The sequence below is a fragment of the Homo sapiens genome, chromosome 15 (genome assembly GCF_000001405.40).
Source record: "Homo sapiens chromosome 15, GRCh38.p14 Primary Assembly".
NCBI classification, from domain to species: Eukaryota; Metazoa; Chordata; class Mammalia; order Primates; family Hominidae; genus Homo; species Homo sapiens.
In genome coordinates, this window is record NC_000015.10 from 94284970 (window position 1) to 94308691 (window position 23722).

The 23722-nt window shown below is 39.9% G+C and overlaps 1 protein-coding gene across 26 annotated transcripts in view; it reads left to right on the top strand.

The window, feature by feature from the left end:
• MCTP2 (multiple C2 and transmembrane domain containing 2) overlaps positions 1 to 23722 on the top strand; it is a 252587-nt gene that overhangs the window by 53604 nt on the left and 175261 nt on the right. For 20 of the 26 annotated variants that reach the window (NR_169532.1, NR_169530.1, NR_169529.1 and 17 more), the window contains one exon: positions 13232 to 13761. The exons of 3 other annotated variants lie outside the window; for them this stretch is intronic. Coding sequence is in view for 16 of the 23 variants with exons in the window: in XM_047432839.1 (XP_047288795.1) it covers positions 13297 to 13761 (465 nt within the window). In the remaining 7 variants the exon portion in view is untranslated. Of the gene's footprint in view, positions 1 to 12972; positions 13121 to 13231; positions 13762 to 20395; positions 20454 to 23722 lie in introns of those variants that run through there. 3 more of the 26 variants (NM_001385007.1, NM_001385011.1, XM_047432841.1) reach the window with 2 other exon arrangements.

Sequence of the window (23722 nt, forward strand, 5' to 3'; positions counted from 1 at the left end):
TTGATTAATATTTCAGGGTTCAGGTCTCTAAGACCACTCTCAGCTTTGGTAATTCTCTAGGAGGACTCAACCTTTCCTCCTACAGCTATGATTTACCACAGGAATAGCAGGGAAAAAATAATAGTGGCAAAGAGAAAAGTGGATGAGAAAATCTGGAAGAACCCAGGCATAAACTTCCAAGAGTTCTCTCTCTGTGGAGTCACACAGGACATGTTTAATTCCTGCATCAGTGAGTTTGACAACATGTGTGAAATGTTTTCCACCAGGGAAGTTCCTTAGGGAGCTTTTTATTGGGAGCTGGTCACAAAGGCACCTCTACCTAACATGTGCTCAAATTCTAGACTCTCAGAAGGAAGGCAGATAATTAGTATAAACCAAGTTGTTTGCATACAGTTTGTGCATAGTGACCCACTCTTATCACTTAGCGTGGTGGGGAATCTCCCAAAATCCAAGTTACTGATGCCAGGTAAGGGCCAACCTTGCAGGCAGACCTTTAAAAACATAGCAACCTCAGACTAGCTAATTATGCTTTGCTTCACAATTTATTTTTTTTTGTTGAATGGTACATTAACTTCGTTAGGGTTCACTTAAAAGTCACTTACACATTTTATTGAATTCATTCTGGTCATTTCAGGGCAAGATAGTAACTGTAAATATCTCATCAGAGATTGGAATTAAAGTGGATGTGTAAGTGTCTGAATGTTTCCGAAACCCTAGCTCCTTCCTCCCTTTCCTTTTCTCCAAACTTCTCCAAGCACACTATATGAATTTGGAATGACTGAAAAAGAGGTAAGCAGTTCTAGGGTCTTTTCAAATGACTGAGATTTCTAGGGGTCATACCCTGTCCCACTTCTAGTCATTAACCAGAGAAGATAGGATCTTACTTCTCTATTAATGCATTATGTTTCCTTCCAAGAACATGGATGGTGGGGCTGAAAATTTCATCCGGTTCTTTTAGTTGATCTTAATTTTGAAGGGGTTTCTGTCCACGTGGTATAATTTTAAATAGTATGTCTAGTATATGAAATGATTCTCCACCTGTAATTAGATTACACATTTAGTAAAAAGTTGAAATGGTAGATAGGGAATCTGTGTTTTGGAAGAAAAGAGCCAAATTTATCTTAAAAGCAGGGAAATGGTTTGTTTATCCTCTGGAAATGATCTAGAGAGAGCTTTTTATGAAGGATAATCTCCTTTAGAAAAGAGGAGAGATTTGTTTTTGCCGCAAGCATAATTAAATGCACCAAGGTATATAAATTCTTTTCCCAGTTCTATTAAAGTGCAGAATAATCTGTCTATATAATTACATTTGCCTTTATCTTTATCATAAGGTAGGCATACACCATCAGATTTTTTACTATTATTGACCCTATTTTTGTTATTCTTTTTCCCTCATGTTAAAATGACGTGATATGAAATTTCCTTTCGACTGGTAAGAAAAACAAATCTTGATGGTTAATTAAAAAAATATCCAGTAATGACACATTCTGACTAGTGACTGCTTGCTAGTCTGTTATTTGGATTGATACTAGATTGTGAAAGCCAGACCTTTTTGTCCCATTTATATTAAAAAAGAAGTTTGAGAAACAATCCGAGTCAGTGTTACTGAATAGCTCTAAAATGCTCTGTAAAATTATGCTGTTCCATTCTGAGAACCTCTTTCCTACCTTGCGGTTCTTATTCAGGTAACATTGCAGTATGAGCTCAATCAGAGATTTGGGGGCTGGTATTAAAAAGGTTTGTTTTCTTTTTCTGCTTGGCCAGTTGCTAGAGGCCAGCTGGGGAGGATGTCTGGCTTAAAACCATAATAAATGAAGCTTCCATTAGGCTCCTCGGCTTGGGGCCATTTCCTGTAAAGACCTTGCTCTGCCGTTAGTGGTTTGGAGAGGGAAAATGCATATTTTTGTTCAATAAATGAAAGCTGAAGATTACCAGGTAGGGTAGCATAGGTATCATGTTTTGTGAAGAGATCCTGCTCTTCAAGGGTCACATTTTAGCTTATAGCCTTTTGAGTGTTTATGACAATAACCTATGAACTTGAGTCATGGTAGAAAATGGAACAAATATGTTTATTTTTAAATATCCTTCGAGAGGAAGCAAACAATATAATATTCAGATAGTTGAATTTGTCTCAGCAGCCTTTCCAAACCTGACTCTTAGATTTATTATTTCTTTAAGTTTTGCTTTGTCTGGAAAATACATTGTTCATTGGAGAAGTAACATTTTCAGGCACAAAAGAGACCAAGCGTACATTACGTACTTTAAGAGCACTTTTTTTTTTTCTGGACACATCTTTTTATGTTTATATGTTTGTAATTCTTTATACATGGTTGTTTATTTTGTTGTTTTATTCTGTATTTTATGCTGTTGTTGCTTATTCTGGAAAATATATTGTTCTGGGAAATACGCTGTTTATTGGAGAAGTGACATTTTCAGGTACAAAAGAGTCCAGGGGTGTATTAGCTTTATACACCTTAAGGATCCTTATTTTCTCTGGGCATATCTTTTTGTGTTTATATGTTTATAATTTTCTGCACGTGGTTGTGTACTACTCACATACTTGGAGAAACTATGGTCAGCGTGCTTTGCAAAACTTAAATGAGTTCCGGTTCTGAATAAGTTAGAATAAAAACACTTCAACGTTTCTCTTCCACTGAACACAAATATGAAATATATGGTAAAGCTAGTTGAAGTCTCAGAAAAGTAAAGCTACAGCTTCGACAAACAGGAAAGCCATTCTCCTCATTCATCAGATTGGCTCCTGCAGTTTCCCAGTGCCAACTGCTGACTGTCTCTATCCATAGATCCCCTGGAGCTGGGTCATGACAAAACTGGACCAATTATCCAGCGTGAATTTAATGCAGTCCCAGATCCAGATGTTAGCAGTGGATCTCAGAAGGAAAGAGAAAGAGATGACCTCTAGCTGTGGCCCAAGGAGAAAAGGGAAGTCCTGAAGCTAAGAGGGAGGGGGAAATCCCCTACCTTGTGTGCCTCCTTTATCTCACTTTTGTCATGCCCCGGCTCCCCAACAGTCTTGTGGTGGAGGCAGTGGCAGCAAAAGCAGCTGGTGGTAGGAAACTGCAGAAGCAAAAATAATGGGTTAGGGAGGGGCATATGCTTTCTATTCGGTAAAATAGAGCTATTTGGTAGCTCTTAGTGGTGCCAATTGGGTTTTTTAATTTGTTTTGTTTTTTAAATCTCTCTGTGTCTTCCCCACAACCCTGGTATGATCATAGATGTAGGTTGTTCCCGATTGTTGAATGAAAAAGGGTGAGTTCTAGGATGCCAGAAAGTATCACAGGAGACAGCTGAGAAGGAAGGGCTTGGGAAATGATCAAATACATTGTGGACTCATGGACTCATCCATAGCCTGAACATACATGGATCTGATCCTTATTAGCGTACCAATGACTTTGAGAATGGAGTTAATGGGTGGAACTCCACTCAAGTCCCAGACTGACCTTACGTCCTATACAAGCAGGGCATATCTAAATGAACCTGCATAGCTATTGAAAACTAAACTGATAATTGGAACCATAGCCAACAGAAGGTGGGCTGCAATTTATGGCTAGAAGCTAACCAGATCAAGTGCTTCCTAAAACAATGATATCAGCATCTTTGTAGACTTAAATAAAGCAGAGAGTTTTATAACATTCAAAATGTCCAAGGTATAATTTATATTGGTTTATGAAGAAATGTAAAAATGTTAACTCACATGGGAAAAGGCAATTAACAGATGAAAATGAAAATATGACTTTAAAGGAGCTATTGTAGAATGCTCAAATGAATAATCATGAGTCTTGAAATAAAAGATAGAAACTATAAGCGAGGAAAGATGTGAAGTGGCACCAATGGAAACCAGAACTGAAAAATACAATAGCTGCCTGCCCCACCCATTCTCCACCCATAAAAAACAAACCTCACTATATGGATTCAATAGCAGACTGGGGATGACAGAGGAAAGAGTCAGTAAAACTGAAGATAAATCAATAAAGGTTATCCAATCTGAAGAAAGAAGAAGATTGAAAAATAATAGAGTCTCCGGGATTATAGAACAATCACAAAAGGCTAATATTTGTATCACTGGAGTGCCAGAAGGAAAGGAGAAAGTGAGTAAGCCTCAACAAGTATTCAAAGAAATGATGGCTGAAACATTGATAGATTCAAGAAGCTAAGCTAACCCCAAATAGGATGAATCCAAATAAACACACACCCAGGCACATCATAAACTGCTAAAAACTTAAAAAAATATTGAAGTCAGTCAGAGCAATGATAACTGATATATGGAAGAACAATGATTCAAATGGCTGAGATTTCTCATCAGAAATCATGGAGGCCAGGAGAAAATGGCACATCCGTTTTTCAAGTGTTGAAAGAAAAGTATAGAATTCAATATCTAGCTAAAATATCCTTCAGAAATGAAGGTGAAAAATATATTCTCAGATTGGGAAAAACTAAGAGAATTTGGAGGCAGCAGACCTGACACAAAATAACAAGAAGGCCTTCTTAAACAGATGAGAAATGGTACAAGAAGGAAATATGGAATATCAAAATCAAGGAAATGCAAGTGAAAAATACAATAGCCTTTCTATTTTAATTGAATAGACTATCTTAAAATTTAATAGACCATTTATTTTCTCTTGAAATTAAGTATGGCTTATGGTTGAAATCAAAAGTTAAACATGGTCTGATACAAATTTTCACTGTATTTAGATGTAATATATAAGACAACTTATGTATTATTATATTATGGGAGAAGAGACCTATACGCTGGTATGGTAGACAGGATAATCTCCCTTCCCTAACCCCAGATACCCACATCCTTATCCCAGGATCCTGTGAATATGTTACATTATGTGGCACAAAGGACTTGTAGATGGGATCTAACAGACTTTAAGATAGAATAACCTTTGTTTTCCTGGTGGGCCCAATCAAGTAACATGAGCCCTTAAAAGTGGAAGAGGAAAACAAAATAGTGGGATGCATCAATGAGAGAGACTTAACTCACTGTTTCTGGCTTTGAAGATGGAGAAAGGGGTCAGGGAATGTGGGCGGCCTCTAAAAGCTAAGATCAGTCCTTAGCTGACTGATCAGCTAAACATGGCTGTTGATGAAAATTTTAAAAAATGGAATTTTGCTAAGGCTGAGAAAGATAAAGAAATGGATTCTCAACTAGAGCCTCCAAAAAAAAAAAATGCATTCTTGTCAGCGCTTTGATTTCAGCCTGACAAGACCCATCTCAGACTTTCTCAGAACTGAAAAGTAATAAATTTATCTTTTTAAGCCACTAATTTTTTCATTATTTGTTATGGGAGCAATACAAAACAAATGCAGGTGATCTGGTTTCTCTGTTCCAATTGAAGTGGTAAAATATTAATTCTAAATAAAATGTGGAAAGTTAACTATACATACCGTAACCCCTAGAATAATCACTGAAAGTTTATACAGAGATATAGTCAAAATCATAACTGATAAATTAAAATGGAACACTATAACCTCAACAAATGAAGAAGGGCGGGAACAGAAAAAATGAAAAACAGAACAAGAAGGAAATGATAAAATGGCAGACCTAAATCCAGACCTATCAAGTACTATGTTAAATATAAATGGTCTAAACAAACCAACTAAAAGCTAGAGATTGTCAGACTGGATTTAAAAAAATGTCCTAGCTATGGGCTTTCCATAAGAAACTCACTTCAAATATATTGTTATTGTAAGCTGAAAAGCAGAAAGGATGGAGGGAAATAAAACCCACACAAACACAAACCAAAAGTAAATTAGCATGGCTATGTTAAAATCAAACAAGATAGGCTTCAGAGCTAGAAAATCATCAGGGTTAAAGACAGACATTACATATTGATTGAAGGGTTAGTTCGGGAAGAAGCTATAACAATCATAAATGTGTGTGCAATAACAGAGCTTCAAAATACAGAAGCAAAAACTGATGTAACTGAAAGGAGAAGTAGAGAAATTCACAACTATAGTTGAAAAATTACTCCTGTCTCAGTAATAGAAGATCAGCAAGGACATAGAAGAACTGAACTATCAACCAACTGAATCTAATGGACATTTATACAATACTCCACTCAACCATAGTAGCATATACAGTCTTTTCAAATGCATATGGGACATTTACCAAGACAGTCCACATTGGGGGTCATAAGTCAAACCTTAACAAATTTAAAAGAAAGTCATAAAGAGAATGACTTCTGGTCATAACTGAGTTAAACTGGAAATTAATAAAAAGATAGATAGAAAAATCTTCAGATACTTAGAAATTACCAATATACTTTTGAATAAACCATGACCTAAAGAGAAAGTTTCAAGAAAAATAAAAAATAATGAAAGTGAGGCCGGGTGTGGTGGCTCACACCTGTAATCCCAGTGCTTTGGGAGGCCGAGGTGGGTGGATCACTTGAGGTCAGGAGTTCAAGACCAGCCTGACCAACATGATGAAACCCTGTCTCTGCTAAAAATACAAAATTGCCGAGAGTGGTGGCATATGCCTGTAATCCCAGCTATCTGGGAGGCTGTGGCAGGAGAATTGCTTGAACCGGGGAGGTGGAGGTTGCAGTGAGCTGAGATCGTGCCACTGCACTCCAGCCTGGGCTACAAGAGCGAAACTCTGTCTCAAAAAAGAAAAAAAAAAAAGTGAAAATAAAACATAATTTTACATAAGACATGACCCAAAGAGGAAGTTTCAAGATAAATTAGAAAATATTTTAAACAGGAAAAAAATGAAAATGACATTTCACATCTTGTGGCATGCAGCTAATATGTAGCCTTAAACCTTATTTTTAAAATGAAGAAAATGCTCAAAGCCATAATCTAGGCCAGTGGTTGGCAAACTTTCTCTCTATGTTTGGACAGTAAATATTTTAGGCTTTCTGGGCCATATGGTATCTGCCACAACTATTAAACTCTACCATTGGGCAAAAGCAGTCATCGCCAATATGTAAACACATTAGTGTGGCTACATTCAATGAAACTTTATGTATAAAAACAGGTAGTTGTATTGATTTGGCCTGTAGATTACCACCCTCTGATTTAGCCACCACCTTAAGAAAATAAAAAAAGTAAGACCAAATTAAACCTAAATCAAGAAGAGAGAAATAAATCATAAAGACAAGAGTAGAAATGTATGATACTGAAATAGTAAAACAATGAAAATTAAAAACCCAAATCTGGTTCTTTGAAAAATAATCCATAAAATTGATAAACCTCTAGCACTATACTTACTGGAGAAAGATTGGATGCTTTCTAAGACTGAGGGGGAAAAAAAAGAATATGCATTCTCACTAATACTATTCACTATCTTATTTGAAGTCTTAGTCCAATAAGGCAAGAAAAAGAAAAGGCATAGCATATGGAGAGGAAGAAATAAAAATACCCAACGTGATTTTCTATGAAGAAGACCTAAAGGAATATAATAAAAGCAATACGTAAATGTAGGAAGTTACAGGATACAAAGCCAATATAAAAAAATTCAATTGTATATGTTTATGCTGAAAATACACAATTGGAAACAAAAATGAAAAGCCATTTACAATAGCTTCAACAAAAATGAAATACAAATCAACCTAATAAAACATGTACTGGGTATGTGAGCTAAAACTGGAGAATGCTGATGAAAGAAATGAAGGAAGACCTAGATAAATGAAGAGACCTGCCATGTGCTTGTATTGGAGACTAAACATAGTAAATATGTCAGCACTCTCCAAACTGCTCTATTTATTGAAAACAATACCAATCAAAATGTTGCAGTATCTTTTTAATCGAGAGTAACTCATTCTAAAATTTATATAGAAATACAAAAATCTGGAATAGCTAAACAAATTTGGAGAGGTCACACTACCCAATTAAAAGACTATCATCCTTCAGCAATCAAAATGGTATTGGAATAGTTACATAGATCAATGGAAAGGAATAATGAGTCAAGGTTATCTACTACACAGATGTAGCAGAGATTTTTGATGAAAGTACAAGAGCAATTCAGTGGAGATATTACAGTCTTTTAAAACAATGACATTGGAAAAAATTATTCACATGTAAAAAATGAACCTTAAACTAAATATAACACTATACAAAAGTTAAATAAATTATAAATCTAAATATAAAATGTAAAACTATATTACTATTAGAAAACATGGGAGAAAACCTTTGTTAATTGGGATTAGACAAGGAGTTCTTACACATGACACCAAAAGTATATAACATAAAATTTTAAAAAATGGCTTGTTAGACTATATCAAAATTAAAAACTTTTACTGTGCAAAAGGCACTACTAAGAATGAGAAGACAAGCTACAAAGTAGGGGAAATATTTGTGAACTCTGTGTTCAACAAAGGACTAATACCCAAAATATTTAAAGAACTCTCATAACTCAACAATAAGAAAACCCAATTTCTAAAAATTGTGTAAAAGTCTTGAATAGACAGCTTATCAAAGTAGATAAAAAGACAGGAAATGCATAGAAAGGTTTTCAACATCACACGTTATTAGGAAAATGAAAATTAAAAACCCAGATGTTGATAATACTGGGTTTTTCAGTATTATCAACTGAAAGGACTTGGCCCCAGAGGGCCGGCCTTACTCCAGGCCACGGTCTTCCTACACCTCGGTGCCCAGCAGTCTGTCCACTGCAGGGATCTTTCCCAAGAGCAGCAGTAGCTCATACACATACCTATTAGAATGGCTATGCACATACCTATTAGAATGGCTAAAATTAAAAGTCCTGATGGTACTAAGTCCTCAGTAGGATATAGACAACTGGAATTCTCATAATTGTTGGCGGGAATGCAAATTGGTCTGTTAAAGTCTGGCAAAGAGTTATCAGGTTCTTTATAAAGTTAAACATTCATTTATCATATGACCCAGCAATCTCACTCTTTGGCATTTATCCCAGAGAAATGAGAACATATATTCGTACACAAAAAACCTGTACACAAATGATTATAGCAACTTTATTTGTAAGAATTCCAAATTGGAAACAACCCAAATGTCCTTCAAGGGGTAAATAGATTAATTGTGGTACATCCACACAATAGACTACTACTGTCAGCAACAAAAAGTTCAACTACTGACATGTGCAGCAACTGGATGAATCTCAAAGGTAACGTGCTGAGTGAAAGAAGCCTGTCTCTAAAAGTTATATACTGTGTGATTCCGTTTAGAAAACATTCCCCGAAAGACAAAATGATAGTGATAGAGAATAGAACGGTGGTTTGCAGAGGAAGGAAGTGGGGGCCTGGGAGCGCGTGATCCTTTGGGGATAGACAGACCCCTCTGTGTCCCGATTGTGATGGTGTAAACACAAATCTGTAAATGTGTTAACATTATAGAACTGTGCACCAAAAGTGAGAAAAAAGCCAATTTTGTTTTAGAATGATTTCAAAAATAAAGTTGAAAAAGTCATTTCTTAACAAAACAAAGATGGTGAAACTGGTGGTTCCAGTGTCCAGGGGTTAGGTATATCCCTGCTTTCTACTTGAATTTCTCTTGAATATATTATAATGTACCAGTAATACGTGCATTCCTACCAGCTTCACCCCCTCAAATAAAGGAGACTGACTCCTGGCACAGGACAGTGTAGTGCATGGAGAAGATAAACATTTTTCCACTTAGACACATTCTTTAGAGATGCAACTTTGTTTACAGCAACTCCTTTTCTCATTTTCTTGGAGATGTTTTTGGTTTGCTTAGATACACAGATTACAAACCTCTTCATTTCATAAGAGGCTGATTCCCATTCCCAGTCTCCCTTCCAAATAGGAGATTTCCCTCAAAGGGGAATGTAAGCCTCTCCCCTAGGATTCCTAAGCTTTGATCTGCACAGTAACACCAGGGAGATTGGTTGGAAGGCAGATTCTTGGGACTCACGTTCATCTCCTGTGGTGGAGCCCAGGACTGTCTACTTTTATTTATATTTATTTATTTTGAAACTTTTTTCTCTTTATTTTTCTTTTCTTTTCCTTTTTTTTTTTTTTTTTTTTTTTTTTTTGAGACAGTCTTACTCCATCACCCAGGCTGGAGTGCAGTGGCGCAATCTCAGCTCACTGCAACCTCCGCCTCCTCGGTTCAAGCAATTCTTGTGCCTCAGCCTCTCAGTTCCTGGCATTACAGGTATGAACCACCATACCTGGCTAATTATTTATATTTTTAGTAGAGATGGGATTCTGCCATGTTGGCCAGGCTGGTCTCGAACTCCTGACCTCAAGCCATCCACCCGCCTTGGCCTCCCAAAGTGCTGGGATTACAGGTATGAGCCACCACACCTGGCCGGGACTGGGTATTTTTAAAGACACAATCTTGATGAGTCTCTTTGGGGTGCTGTAGGGAACCTCTTTGAGAAATTCTATAGAGCCAGGAATTTAAACTTGTAATATATCTGTCTGTCTGTCTCCATCTCGATAGCTCTCATTACTTGTGTTGAAACACATATGGCTCCACCTAACTGTTTTAAGCATTGTACAGTATCCCACTGTGTGAGCGCATCTGAAGCTGCTCCCACAGAAACCACAGTGCTGCTTCTCTGGGCTATGTTCAGGTATACTTTATTTCACACATGTGCTGAGTCTTCAGCAGCAGCCGCTGCATGACATATGGGTCATTCCCAAACTTCAATCTCATTATTTTTGCTGAGAAGGTACTGGCCACCTTCTCCATTTTTATGTTTTCCATATATATTACTTTCTTTACAACGGACTTTTCAGTTATTTAAATATTTTTTCTTTCAGCTTTAGATTTTTAGTTCATCAAAATGTTTCTTCTGTCAAAAATTCTATCTGTACAAAAAAATAGCTGGGCATGGTGGCGTGTGTCTGTAGTCCCAGCTATTTGGGAGGCTGAACTGGGAGGGTCGCTTGAGCCCAGGAGTTCGAGGCCGCAGTGAGCTGTGATCGTGCCATTGCACTCCAGCCTGGGCAACTGGAGTGAGACCCTGACTCAAAAAAAAAAAAAATTCTGTCTGGTTGTAATTAGTGTGGAATTTGTATAAATTCTTTTTCTCAGATGTCTCAATTGCATTGTTTTAATTTCCACATACATGATACATTTTTTCAAGACTCTGCTCTGTGTCCTGAGTTTCTCATAGTACCTGTCACATTGTGGGTCCTCTGGTTGTATTAGCTGGTTTGACACTTCCCATTTCTTACAGATTCCTCCCAGGTCTCCATAGAGTGCTACCCTACTCTCCTTCATTAAATGCTAATTGAAGGAAAATATTGCTATATGAAAATAGAAGCAATGCCTTTTATCGTATTTGCAAGTCAAGTTATGAGATGTGAATTGAATGTACTTGCGTATTGCTAACGTGAAATTCAAGTTTCTGTTTAGGATAACGTTTTTAAAAGCTGCAAAAAAAGTTGTAAACTATTTTAAACATTTAAAGCCAAAATGACCCAATACAAAGTAATTGAAACAATTTTAAAAGTCGCTAACATTGTATTAAACATTTACTCCATACCTAGCACTGTTCTAGATACCAAAGCACTTTCTGTGTATTAGTCCATTCAGTCCTCACCGCAGCCTCCCGAGGTACTTACTGTTAAACTCATCTGTAACATGGGAATAACAGTGAGACACAGAACTCTTACATAACTTGATTAAGATATCCAAACAAGAAATGATGAGAATAATGATAGAGACACCTTTCTGTGTCTGAGCACTTTAAAGCATCAGACACTGTGCTTTCTACTTTGTGTCATCGTATCTGTAAACTAGGTAATCTCGTCCCCACTGGGTGGGTGAGGCAATGGAGGCTTAGTGAAGTGACTTGCACCTGGTCCTACCTCTAAGTAGAACAGAGTAAATCAGAATTGTAACCCATGGAGTCTGTTTTGAGAGGCCAAGCTCTTAATCTTTACATTGTCTGCAGAAGATACCAAGTTCATCCTGGGAGAAGCTCTTGTCATGCGCTGGTCATTAGGCAAGGGCTATAGAGACAAAGTCCTGACTTTTAGCAGGCAAATGGCTGCACACACCCTGATCTCTGGCTCTCTGGACCATTCTTCACAATGATAAACTGTCCTCTCCTTGAAGGAGCTGGGGTGGGGCACAACAGCCAGGGTCCTTGATTTTAGAAAATGTGATTTGTGGAAGCTCTTGGCCTCTTTTGGCCTCAGCCAAATGTGGCAAAATACAAACAGGCCAGGTCTCAGTGTCTGCCCATCCTGTTCTTTTTCATACTGAAAGGATTTATTATGAGGCATGTGACACATAAAATAAGGGTTATTTCTGCAAATTTGATTTTGATTTGATCCGTGATGAGTTCAACCTGTTATATCCCAAATCACCACTTTCCTCCACAGCATTTACCCTACTCTGTAATTACGTATTTACTGTATGTGTGAAGCATCCTTATCCCTCATAACCAACTGCTAGTGAGCCACACTTTCATTCACATTCTCAGGCTACATCTCAGAAGCTTGCTTTGTTTAAGGGCTTCATTATGGGAATTTTGTCATTTCTTCTGAATAAGAACAAAACTCACATTTTTATAAATGTGTTTTGCTCTAATCACCTGTATGTGAATATAAATTTGAAAGATACTAGATGGAATCCTAGTCGATAGGGCCATGTTTTTGTTCTTGAAAACGTACACTTAATTCTGGGAAGGAAGTTGACATGGTTAAAGCAGGGATCAGCAAGCCACAGTCTGCTGGGTTTGCAAAGTTTTATTACAACACAGCCACATTCTTTCATTTAGGTATTCTGTCTGTCTCCTTTGATGTCGCACAGCAGAGTTGAGTAGTAGCGACAGACACCATCTGGCCCACCAAGTCTAAAATATTTAATAACTGGCCCTGCACTGAGACTGTTTGTTGACCTCCGGTTTAGAGAAGTAGAAAGTCCCCACCCCTTGATCATACTGAAGAACAGCTGCTGTTGGTGTTCTCGTGAATGTCTTTAGCTCCGCTTCCTCTGGGAAGGAAATAAGACAGTTATCTCTTCATGAAGCATTTTTTTTTTTTGGTGCCAACCTTATCATCTCATTCTTCGTTTTAATGTTTCTACAGTTGCTCTGATAAAATTCTTTTAAAAAGTTCTTTAAAAATGCTTTCCCCAATATTTATACAAGTTACCAATCAAATGTTGCAGTCTTAATCATTTATTGGAAACTGTAAGATTTTTGAGTCGTGTTTCTCACTTTGATGTGCCTTACTGCCACCAAGAAGGTTCATGTTTTTTTTTTTTGTTTGTTTGTTTTTTGTTGTTTTTTTCTGTTTTATAGGAGTCATTGCAGTTTTCAGTAGAGGTGTACTTCTGAGAAGTGGCTTCTTGGGTCTTCATGCAGCCATGGATCTGGATAAACCATCTGTTTGGGGCTCATTAAAACAGCGGACCAGGCCATTGTTGATCAACTTGAGCAAGAAGAAGGTGAAAAAGAACCCAAGTAAGCCCCCAGATCTACGGGCAAGGCATCACTTGGACCGCCGTCTCAGCCTCTCTGTGCCTGATCTCCTGGAGGCTGAGGCCTTGGCCCCAGAGGGCCGGCCTTACTCCGGGCCACAGTCTTCCTACACCTCGGTGCCCAGCAGTCTGTCCACTGCAGGGATCTTTCCCAAGAGCAGCAGTAGCTCCTTGAAACAGTCTGAAGAAGAATTGGATTGGAGCCAGGAAGAAGCCAGTCACCTCCATGTGGTGGAAACAGACTCAGAGGAGGCCTATGCCTCTCCTGCTGAGCGGAGACGGGTGTCCAGCAACGGCATCTTTGATCTTCAGAAAACTTCCCTTGGAGGGGATGCACCAGAAGAGCCAGAGGTGAGAATAGGGCTGGGCTCTCTTTTTTTTTGTCTCTCTCTCTCTCTCTCTTTCCCTCTCTTTCTCCCTCTCTCCCCATCTCCCTCTCTCTTCCCCCCTCCCCCTCCCTCTCTCTTCCCCCCTCCCCCTCCCTCTCTCTCTCCCCCTCCCCCCTCTTTCTCTCTCTCTCCCTCCCTCTCCCTCCCTCCCTCTCCCTCTTTCCCTCTCCCTCTCTCCCTCTCTCCCTCTCTCCCTCTCTCCCTCTCCCTCTCCCTCTCCCTCTCTCCCTCTCCCTCTCTCCCTCTCTCCCTCCCTCTCTCCCTCCCCCTCCCCCTTCCCCTTCCCCTCCCTTTGGAAAATTTGGTTAGGAGTTATTTTCGTGGTTAGCTCAGATGGGGAGAATGTTGTTTACAAGAATTTAAATTAATGCAGTATTGATTGCACCCAGTGTTCCCATTAGTTTTAGGGTTGACCTCTGTGTGTTTTAAAGCTATTACAAATAACTCTTCCAGAATACTTTAGGACATTAAAAGCCATATTGGATGAATTCTCTTTTATCTGTCTCCTGGCAAAGAAATTAAGTACCTAACTTTTCCTGGAATTTTTTTTTAAGTGTATGTTTGTGTCTCTCACTACACCATTGCCCAGTCATACCTGTAGAAAAACCATGCATATTATTACTCCTAAGAAGCATATGAATGTATGTCCCCCTTTGACTGCCTTAGGATTTGAACTTCCTTCTATTTTATACCTGTGTGTGCACTCGCCTGTGAACAAGCATTCTTTTAAAAAGTTAACAAAACTTTAGTATTTCAATACAATTAATTAACCAAATATAATGATGACACAAATATTTTATTTCAAGGGTGAATATAATTTAAATTCAGTCCCCAGGTTACCAAATCATGATTTAAGTGACTGATGTAATTAGTTGTCTTTAAAAAGTCTTTCGTTACTGACACTGAAGTAGGTTTCCATGTTGAAGTAAGGGGTTAATTTTTCTGTGTTCCAGGTTAGTGTTACAATTGCCTAGAAAACTGGTTGTTTAACTTGGATTTTTAGTTTCACTTTTAGAAACAAAACTCATTGCTTATTCCATGTATCAGGGTTTCACCAGGGAAGGGATCATGGATGTTTGGAGGATATCATGGCCATATTCGTTAGCAAGCATTACTATATTAAGACACCATTACCCATAAATGACTTTAACTATTTTTTTATTTGGCATTACGTTTTATAAAACCCATTTTGTAAACCTTTTTTGACTTTTTAGTTATTTATGAATTTGAAATACATGTTTCTTTTAAACAAAATGCAAATGAAGTAGATTATTAAATCAGGTCAGTATAAGGAAGGTAACCTGTTGAATTATATAATAAAGTTAATCTTCGTCTTTTTTTTTCCTGACCAGAAAATAAAAGTGGGCTTCTTGGCTTTGATATACTAACATTTTCATACTCAGAAGGAATTTTTTTGAAGCGACTGCTGTTAAACCATTTAGAACTTTTATTGTCATGGCCGGGCACGGTGGCTCATTCCTGTAATCCCAGTACTTTGGGAGACCGAGGTGGGTGGAGATCACGAGGTCAGGAGATTGAGACCATCCTAGCTAACACGGTGAAACCCCATCTCTACTAAAAATACAAAAAAATTAGCCGGGCGTGGTGGCGGGCACCTGTAGTCCCAGCTACTTGGGAGGCTGAGGCAGGAGAATGGCATGAACGCGGGAGGTAGAACCTGCAGTGAGCTAAGATCGCGCCACTGCACTCCAGCCTGGGTGACAGAGTGAGACTCTGTCTCAAAAAAAAAAAAAAAGAACTTTTATTGTCTTTGTTGATTAAACAGAAATATTTGAATGCTACTCTAGGCCAGGCAGTGTGAAAGTTGCTATTGGAAATAGAGATGGGTAAGAAAGTGCCTCTGCCCTCCAACTGTGATTTTTTGGGAGATCTTACAAGCAGAGCATAAGAGGCTACTGGATATCAGAGCTGTTGTTGCAAAATGTTTCAGCCTGGTCTCCTGGCAGCTCACTGGAAGGAGGGGATCAGTGTGTGGAAAATGAGGGCATGTTATCTGTGAAGCAGTGTCCAAGTTGGCACAGAGGATAGTGTGCTTGCCAGGTGAGGAAAGCTGGTGATCACAGCCTGAAGTGTGGATGGGTGCTGTTGGGGGTGATGAGTGTTTTGCTCTACCTGGATTGGAGGCACTGGGAGCTTTGTGGTGTGATGTGTGTCTGGAAGGGTGTGGGCTGGTCCATGATAGTAGATGTGGGGTTGTTGGGTTGGCTATTTTATCTTCTCCAGGCTAAATGCAGAAAGCTTAGAATAGGCAGATTCCTTCCAGAATAGGTTATTCTGGATCATTTGGTTTTTCCCTTTTAACGCAACCATTTTTTTAACCTTTGTTCTCAAAAATGAATCCTTTGCTCCTCTTTTTCTGACCTAGAAAGTACAAAACAAAGACCAAGACTGATTCTACCGTTCAGGGTTGAGGTTCTCTCTACTTGAGTGCCGTTGCTTTGCTGGGTGGCATGCTTGCAGAGGACGGAGGGACGGGAGTGCGGCTGATCAGACCCCTAGGATCCCTTGCAGTCTAGTTCTGCCCACCCAGCTCCCTCCTCACCGGCTCCTCCCCTCAGTCCTGCCTGTTTGAGTTGGGCCTGTCCCACTACCCAGTCTGAGTTCCAAAACTGAAGAACCTGGAGTCTGATGTTTAAGGCCCTGTCCCACTACCAGTTTATCACATGGTACAGAAGAGGGGCTTCCTTACTTATCTTCTCCACTAGGCTGTGTTGATTTGGAGGATTGGCATGGCTGGGGAGACACCTTTGTCTTTGTTTTCTAAGCGTCTAGCTTCATGCCTTGCGCATAGCACATAACGTATGCTCAGCTGATATTTGTTTAATACAAAAACGATGATAGCAACGTGTGCATTCAGGTTACTTGGGTATTTGTGTTTTTCCTGTGAGTTTTCTTTAGTTTATGATTTAATTAAAATCATCTGTGGTTTTTGAAAAAATACTCAATTTTATTTTATATGATAATTGAAATTAGAGGTTTAGGCAGGTGTAAACTTTTTGGCTGAAATTTGATATTGATTTTAACTCTGAATTTATCATTTCTGCTTTTTTTTTTTTTTTTAAACAAAGGGAATTCCTGCAGAATTCATGTCACCTGAGAGTTTGGGAATTGGTTCCTCTGTGTTTTAGATATGGCTTATCTGTTTCTTCCTAGTTAATAGCTGGTGGCTTTCTATACCTTGTGTGGAATGAGGAAGAAATGAAGAAGAAGGAAGGAGTTGGCATGTGGCAAGCCTGGTGTACAGCAAGGACAATCAGATTTTTGTCCAGTGTTCTCAGTTTAACTTACTTTGTTTTTAGCTTTCCAGAGGGGTCAGGCAAGGAGTGAGCATCTGTGGCCTGAGGGATCCCTAGGGGTTTGCCTCTTCTGTTGTGTACCAGCGCTTCTCTGGTGCCAGTTGAGATAAGTGGGGAGATTACTCTGAGCAGGGTGGTCAGGAAAGGCTTGAAGAGAACTCCTTTTGAGAATTAGTAAGACTCAGATAGGCAGAGAGTAAGCCTGTGGCAGTGGGACAGGACCCCAAATATCAGCAATGCCTGAATTCTGCAGTCACCTCCAGGCCCACCAGCATCAGCAAAGAAAGTGAAATGTTAGTCTACTGTTATGGGGAATTGGAATGATGGGGCAAAAGAGGAAAGTAAGCATGAGGGGCAAGGAAGAAGGAATGTGAAAAACAGGACAGGCAGAGCCTAAAATATTGCAAATGCCAAATCCAGCTGTAAAACCAAAAGGTGAGAACATACGCTTAGAAGAAAGGATACATCCGTGGAAGAGGATTTAGCCAGACTCTCTCTTGAGCTCCAGATCCACACCCTACTGGATGTCTCATAGGAACCTGGTTTCGACTTGTTTTGACAGAATTCAGTCTCCCTGAAGAACCACCTCAAACATAGACCATGATTTCTTGGCAGTATCACCATTATTCACCTAGTTGTTCAAGCCAAACATCTGTGAATAATGGTAGTCTCTTACTTTCCCTGCTTTTCATGTTTGTGGGGTCTTTTGTCGTCTCACATGTTTCCTCCTCTCTTACCTATCATATTAGTCCATTTTCATGCTACTGATAGACATAACGAGACGGGGCAAATTACAAAAGAAAGACGTTTAATATGGACGACTTACAGTTCCACATGGCTGGGGAGGCCTCACAATCATGGCAGAAGGCAAGGAGGAGCAAGTCATGTCTTACATGGATGGCAGCCAGCAAAGGGAGAGAGCATGGACAAGGAAACTCCCTGTATTAGGGTTCTCTAGAGGGGCAGAACTAATGGAATATATATATATAGTTTATATATATATAGTTTATATAGTTTATATATATATATAGTTTATATATATAGTTTATATATATATATATATAGTTCTGTCTAGAGGGACAGAACTAATGGAATATATATATATATGTTTATTAAATATTATCTCACATGATCACACGGTCCCACAATAGGCCATCTACAGGCTGAGGAGCAAGCAGTCCAGGTTCCAAAACTGAAGAATTTGGATTCGGATGTTTGAGGGCAGGAAGCATCCAGCATGGGAGAAAGGTGTAGGCTGGGAGGCTAGGCCAGTCTGTTTTCACATTTTTCTGCCTGCTTATATTCTAGCCACACTGGCAGCTGATTAGATGATGCCCACCCAGATTAAGGGTGGGTCTGCCTTTCCCAGCCCACTGACTCAAATGTTAATCTCTTTTAGCAACACCCTCACAGACACACCCAGGATCAATATTTTATATCCTTCGGTCTAATCAAGTTGACATTCAGTATTAACTATCACACTCCCAGTCATAAAACCATCAGATCTCATGAGACCCATTCACTGTCACGAGAACAGCATGGGAAAGAGTTGCCCCGTGGTTCAGTCATCTCCCATGGGTCCCTCCTACAACATGTGGGAATTATGGGAGCTACAAGATGAGATTTGGGTGGGGACACGGAGCAAACTTACTTCATATTCATTCTGTTCTACTGAAATCCTTCCCATACTTCAAGGCCTAGTGGAAACCTTCCTTCTCTGTGGTGCTTTTTCCAACTCTGTGGTGAGTATAATCAGCCTGCCTTCATTTTCATAGCATGTCACTTTTACTCTGACTGAGCACTAACCTCAGTCTGTTCTCTGGAGAAATCTGTAGAGAGAAGAAGGGATTACAACAGGAAGAGGAGGTAGAAAGGGGAAGACAAATTGGTCCTGGGCAAGGGCATCACTGAGTAAGTTCTTGAGAAAGTCGGCATGCTCTAAGACATGTACTAACTGTCCAGTGGTCATCTAGCTCAGAGGACTGACTCATGATAACCAGATGGTCACAAGTCTGAGCTACAAATGACAATCACAACTAATTTGCCATGAGAATTAAATACTTTGAAGACTCTAGGCCAGATGTGGTGGCTCATGCCTGTAATCCCAGCACTTTGGGAGGCTAACATGGGTGGATCACTTGAGGTCAGAAGGTCAAGACCAGCCTTGCCAACGTGGTAAAATCCTGTCTCTACTAAAAATATAAAAATTAGCTAGGCATGGTGGCACATGCCTGTGGTCCCAGCTACTGAGGAGGCTGAGGCGTGAGAATCGCTTGAACCCAGGAGGCAGAGGTTGCAGTGGGCTGTGATTGTGCCCATGCACTCCAGCAAGGGTGACAGGGCAAGATTCCATCTCAAAAAAAATAATAAAAATTAAAGACTCTAATGTTCTTTTGATGTAAACAGCTCATTCTTCATTTTTGTCAAATCACACAGAAAGTCAAATCATAATCAATGTCTACTTCATTAACCTGTTAGGAGAAATTATTATCTCAGGGCCTGGAAACACTTGAAATGCATTTCCTCCCCACAGTCAGCCTTTAGGAGAAGTCACATGAGAATCAGGAAAATTGGTGCAGGGATTGGCACACTGCAGGGAGAATGCATGGGCTCCATGCTGAATGGCATTTCATACACCATCCATCTCACAATGGGTACTGAGCCACAAATTAGAACTTGACATACTCACACTTTGTCTACTAGGGCCACCTTTATCCATCTCTGTGAGCCCACTTAGTCCAGGAAGCCTGGATTTTAAAGTCCCTCCTTCTGAACAAGTCCAAACTTTTATTGAGGCTTCCTGGCGTGACCTCTCCCTTTTTCTGATTGACACATTATTTCATTAATTGTATGTTATCACTTCATTAATTGTAAGGCTGATATCTTATCATGGTGGCCTGGCATCCATATTGTGTCCTTTAGGTGACTTTGTATGTCTGGGTGCTGACGGATAAAGAGTCATTGCTTGGATTGAATTGTGTCCCCCAGACCAAGTTCTTATGTTGAATCTCTAACCTTTACATGACTGTATTGAAGATATGGCCTTTAGGAGGTGATTAAGGATAAGTGAGGTCAGAAGCATGGAGCCCTGATCCAATGGAACTGGTGTCCTTATACAAGAGAAAGAGACACCAGAGGTCTCTCATTCCCCACCATGTGAGGACACAGTGAGAATGGAGTCATCTGCAAGGCAGGAAGTGGGTTTCTGTTGTTTAAGCCACCTAGTAAGTGGTATTTTGTTATAGTCGCCTGAGCTGACTAACTCTGTGATCTTAACAGTTTTAGCCTCGGAGGACGATCTCATTGCTTGTGGCCAAGACTTGTGGCTAAAGAGGAGGTAAGAGCACCATAGTCTACTGCCACATACCAATACCTCCACACACATACACACACATGCGGATATATATATATATGTATGGGAGTGTATATATATACCTTTTTATAGGTGTGTGTGTATACACACATAGCTGTTTAGAAGTCAGTCTCTCTTGTTAGAGTATAAGCTCTTGAAGAGTAGAAATGTCATTTTTCTTCTTCTCCCGGCCTTTCTGCAAACCTTGCTTATATGATATGCATGTATATTGATTCATATTATCACTGCAGTTGACTTTCCAGCCACTGCCAAAGGCTTGGAAAGCCATAAGAAATTTAGTTGTGTTGGGGAAGGGTGATACATGGAGGCGCTACGTGGGTAGGGCCCTAAAGAAAGGAGTTTCTAAGCATCAGATGAAATGTGAAGAAGCTAAAGTTAAGGGAACTCGGAGGGAGAGGAGCTTATTTTTTTATTTTTTTCTTCTTATCTAGTTTTTTTCTCCTCATTTTCTCCTCTAGTCAGCACTCTCCCAGTACTTACTTTACAAGACGCTTTTAACATGCATTGTAAAATCAGCTAAGTATTTAGAAAATGCATACGGTCTATTCTGGTTCTTGCCGTAGGTATTGATGGTGAAATTGGGATTAGACACAGACACTGAAAAAAATGACCAGCAATACCAACCAGTCTCTACTCAGTGCTAGATAACCAGTTGAGATGAATGGGGAGGTTATTCTGAGCAGGGTGGTCAGGAAAGGCTTGAAGAGAACTCCTTTTGAGAATTAGTAAGACTTAGATAGGCAGAGAGTAATACAGATTAGTTAAGTTTGTCTGTGGGGCTAGAAAAATATGAAGGTCTTAGCCCAGTACCTGCCAGCCACAAGCACCTAACAAGTGCTTACTGCCATGATTTTGGTTGTATTCATTAGTGTTTATAATTATTTTTAACATTGCTTATTTTTCAGAATGACATGGAGGTTTGGAGAATTTTAGTGACTTGCTTAATGTCATCCAGCTAGTAAGTGTCAGAGACAGGATCTAACTCCAGGATTGTCTGAATCCTGGGACTGTGCGCAGAACTGTGGGTATAACATGAGTTTGGAAGTACAATTCTGCAAATGGGAGAGCTCAGATCTGGAGATAAAAAAAGTTGATCACAAAAGGAAGACATTTATTTTTCTGTGTCCACTGTGTCCTTTTAAACACAAGGATAATTATCAAGATTGAATGGGCTCATTGTCATGGTCAATAACTAATAATTATGAAAGAAAGGATCATTCCCCCTTTCCCATAATCCATGAAATTCCACAATGGGGTATGTCCTTCCCTGACATTTCATTTGGCAGTTGGAGTTGTGAATAACTAGCTTTGGCATGCACTTACGTGGGTGAGTTGAGTGATTTAGAGAAGTTCCCCATTGAGATATTTCCAGAAATGGCTTGGCAACTGCATAGCTTCAGGTTAGTGATCACAGAGAAGTAGAGTGAGAAACCACAGAGGAGAGGAAACGACCTCCAGGTTGCAAAATTAAACAAGTGCGTCAGTTTCTCTACACTTCAATGACGTCATTTTTACTATTTTTGTGTGATCTCGAAAGTCGTACCTCAATATGTGATGGTGTGTCAGAGAGGCAGGTGTGTCAGCTACATCCCAGGGTCCATCATGGGCTCAGTCTCGCTGTTCTTCTTCCTTCCCTTCGCACCTGTTGAACGCCTGCTTTGTGCTGATGCAGATCCAGACACTAGGGACAGAGTAGTCAACAAAATAGAAAAAAGTCACCTTCCTCATGGAGTTTCCACTAGGAAAGGTGGCAAGCTATAGATATAATCAGAACATAAAGTGTCATGGAGAGAAAGAAAGCAGAGTAGGTGCTGGGGGGGAGGTGTTATCATTTTGTACAGAGTGGTCAGGAAGGACCTCTTCCGAGAAGATAACCTTCACACAAAGATATGGAGGAGGTGAGGAAGTGGGTTGTGTGCATAGCTAGAGAAAAGCCTTCCAGAAAAAGAGAACAGCAAGCATAAAGGCCCCAGGGTAGCAGGAGTGTCCCTGATGTTTCAGGAAGAGCAAGGAAGCAGTGAGGCTGGAGAGGAGGCAGTGAGGCGGCAATGGGAGGAGATGGCAGAGAAGTGAACAGAAGCCACATCATGTAGGGCGTTCCTATCTTGTCAGGCAACTCTAGCTGCTTAGTGCACTGAATGAGCGGGATGCACAGGAGCCCCATGGGCTCAATGCTGCATCACTCATAGGGCAGAAGGAATCGTTGGCACACGGGCAGTGCTTGCTGTGTCTGCTGTAGACACTGGGTATAGCAGTAAGTCCAAGCTTTGCCTTGGACAAAAGATATGGAGAAATGGCGCACAGGCTGATGGGCTGTGGGCAGAGGGAAAATGGCACTGTCCCGAGGCTTCGTCAGCCAGTCTCTGACTTTGTCCTGGTCACTTTCGGTGGGGAATGTTGGAGGGAGCTAAGAAAGGGACTCAGATTGCTCACCACCTTCATCAAGTTCTTTTGATCCACTCTTCCCAAACACATAGGCTGTTTTATGACTATTACTAATATAATTCATAATAATAATAATAAATAGAATAGCAACACCAATCTAATGCTACTTACTGAGGGTTTATGTGTAAGGAACTCTGCTAATTTCTACATAAATATTATCAGACCACATCTATTTGGTTTCCTCTGTATGCGAAGAGTCCTCGCACAGTGTCTGTCTGAGAAAAGGCTTTCAGTAAATACCCTCTGAGTGATTTAATTATTCTAACAACCTATAAGAATCTGTTTTGATCCATTGAGAGATGTTCCCATGTCTTGAATTTTAGGTATATTTTTCAAGGACAGAAAGCTAGAAAGTAGCAGAGGTGGGACTCAAATCCAGGTCTTTTGGACTCCAGAGCCTTGTTCACTACCATGTACAGCTGCTTCCTGGTCAGGCGAGGTGTGCTGTTTTGGGATTCTCCTGGCGCAGGTGTGGTACAGTGAAAAGAGCAGCGTACCCAGGTCACTCAGGGGAAGCCCAACCTAGAGTGCTCTCCAGGGCCGAACTCTCCAGCTTTCCTGTGATGGCCATTTAGCCTCCTGGCTCTGCTTTCCTCTTTGCCAATTGGGGAGACTAATGACAGCCTGTGGACTTGTTTTAAGAAGTTACAAGGAGCATAAATTTTACATTAGAAAGTGCTCAGCGATGTACAAGCAACCATTTTTTAAAGTATCTCCTGTTAATAAACATGCAAAAAACTTACGGCAGGTCAGTGGACAAATATTACTAAATATGCAGAGTTTTAGAG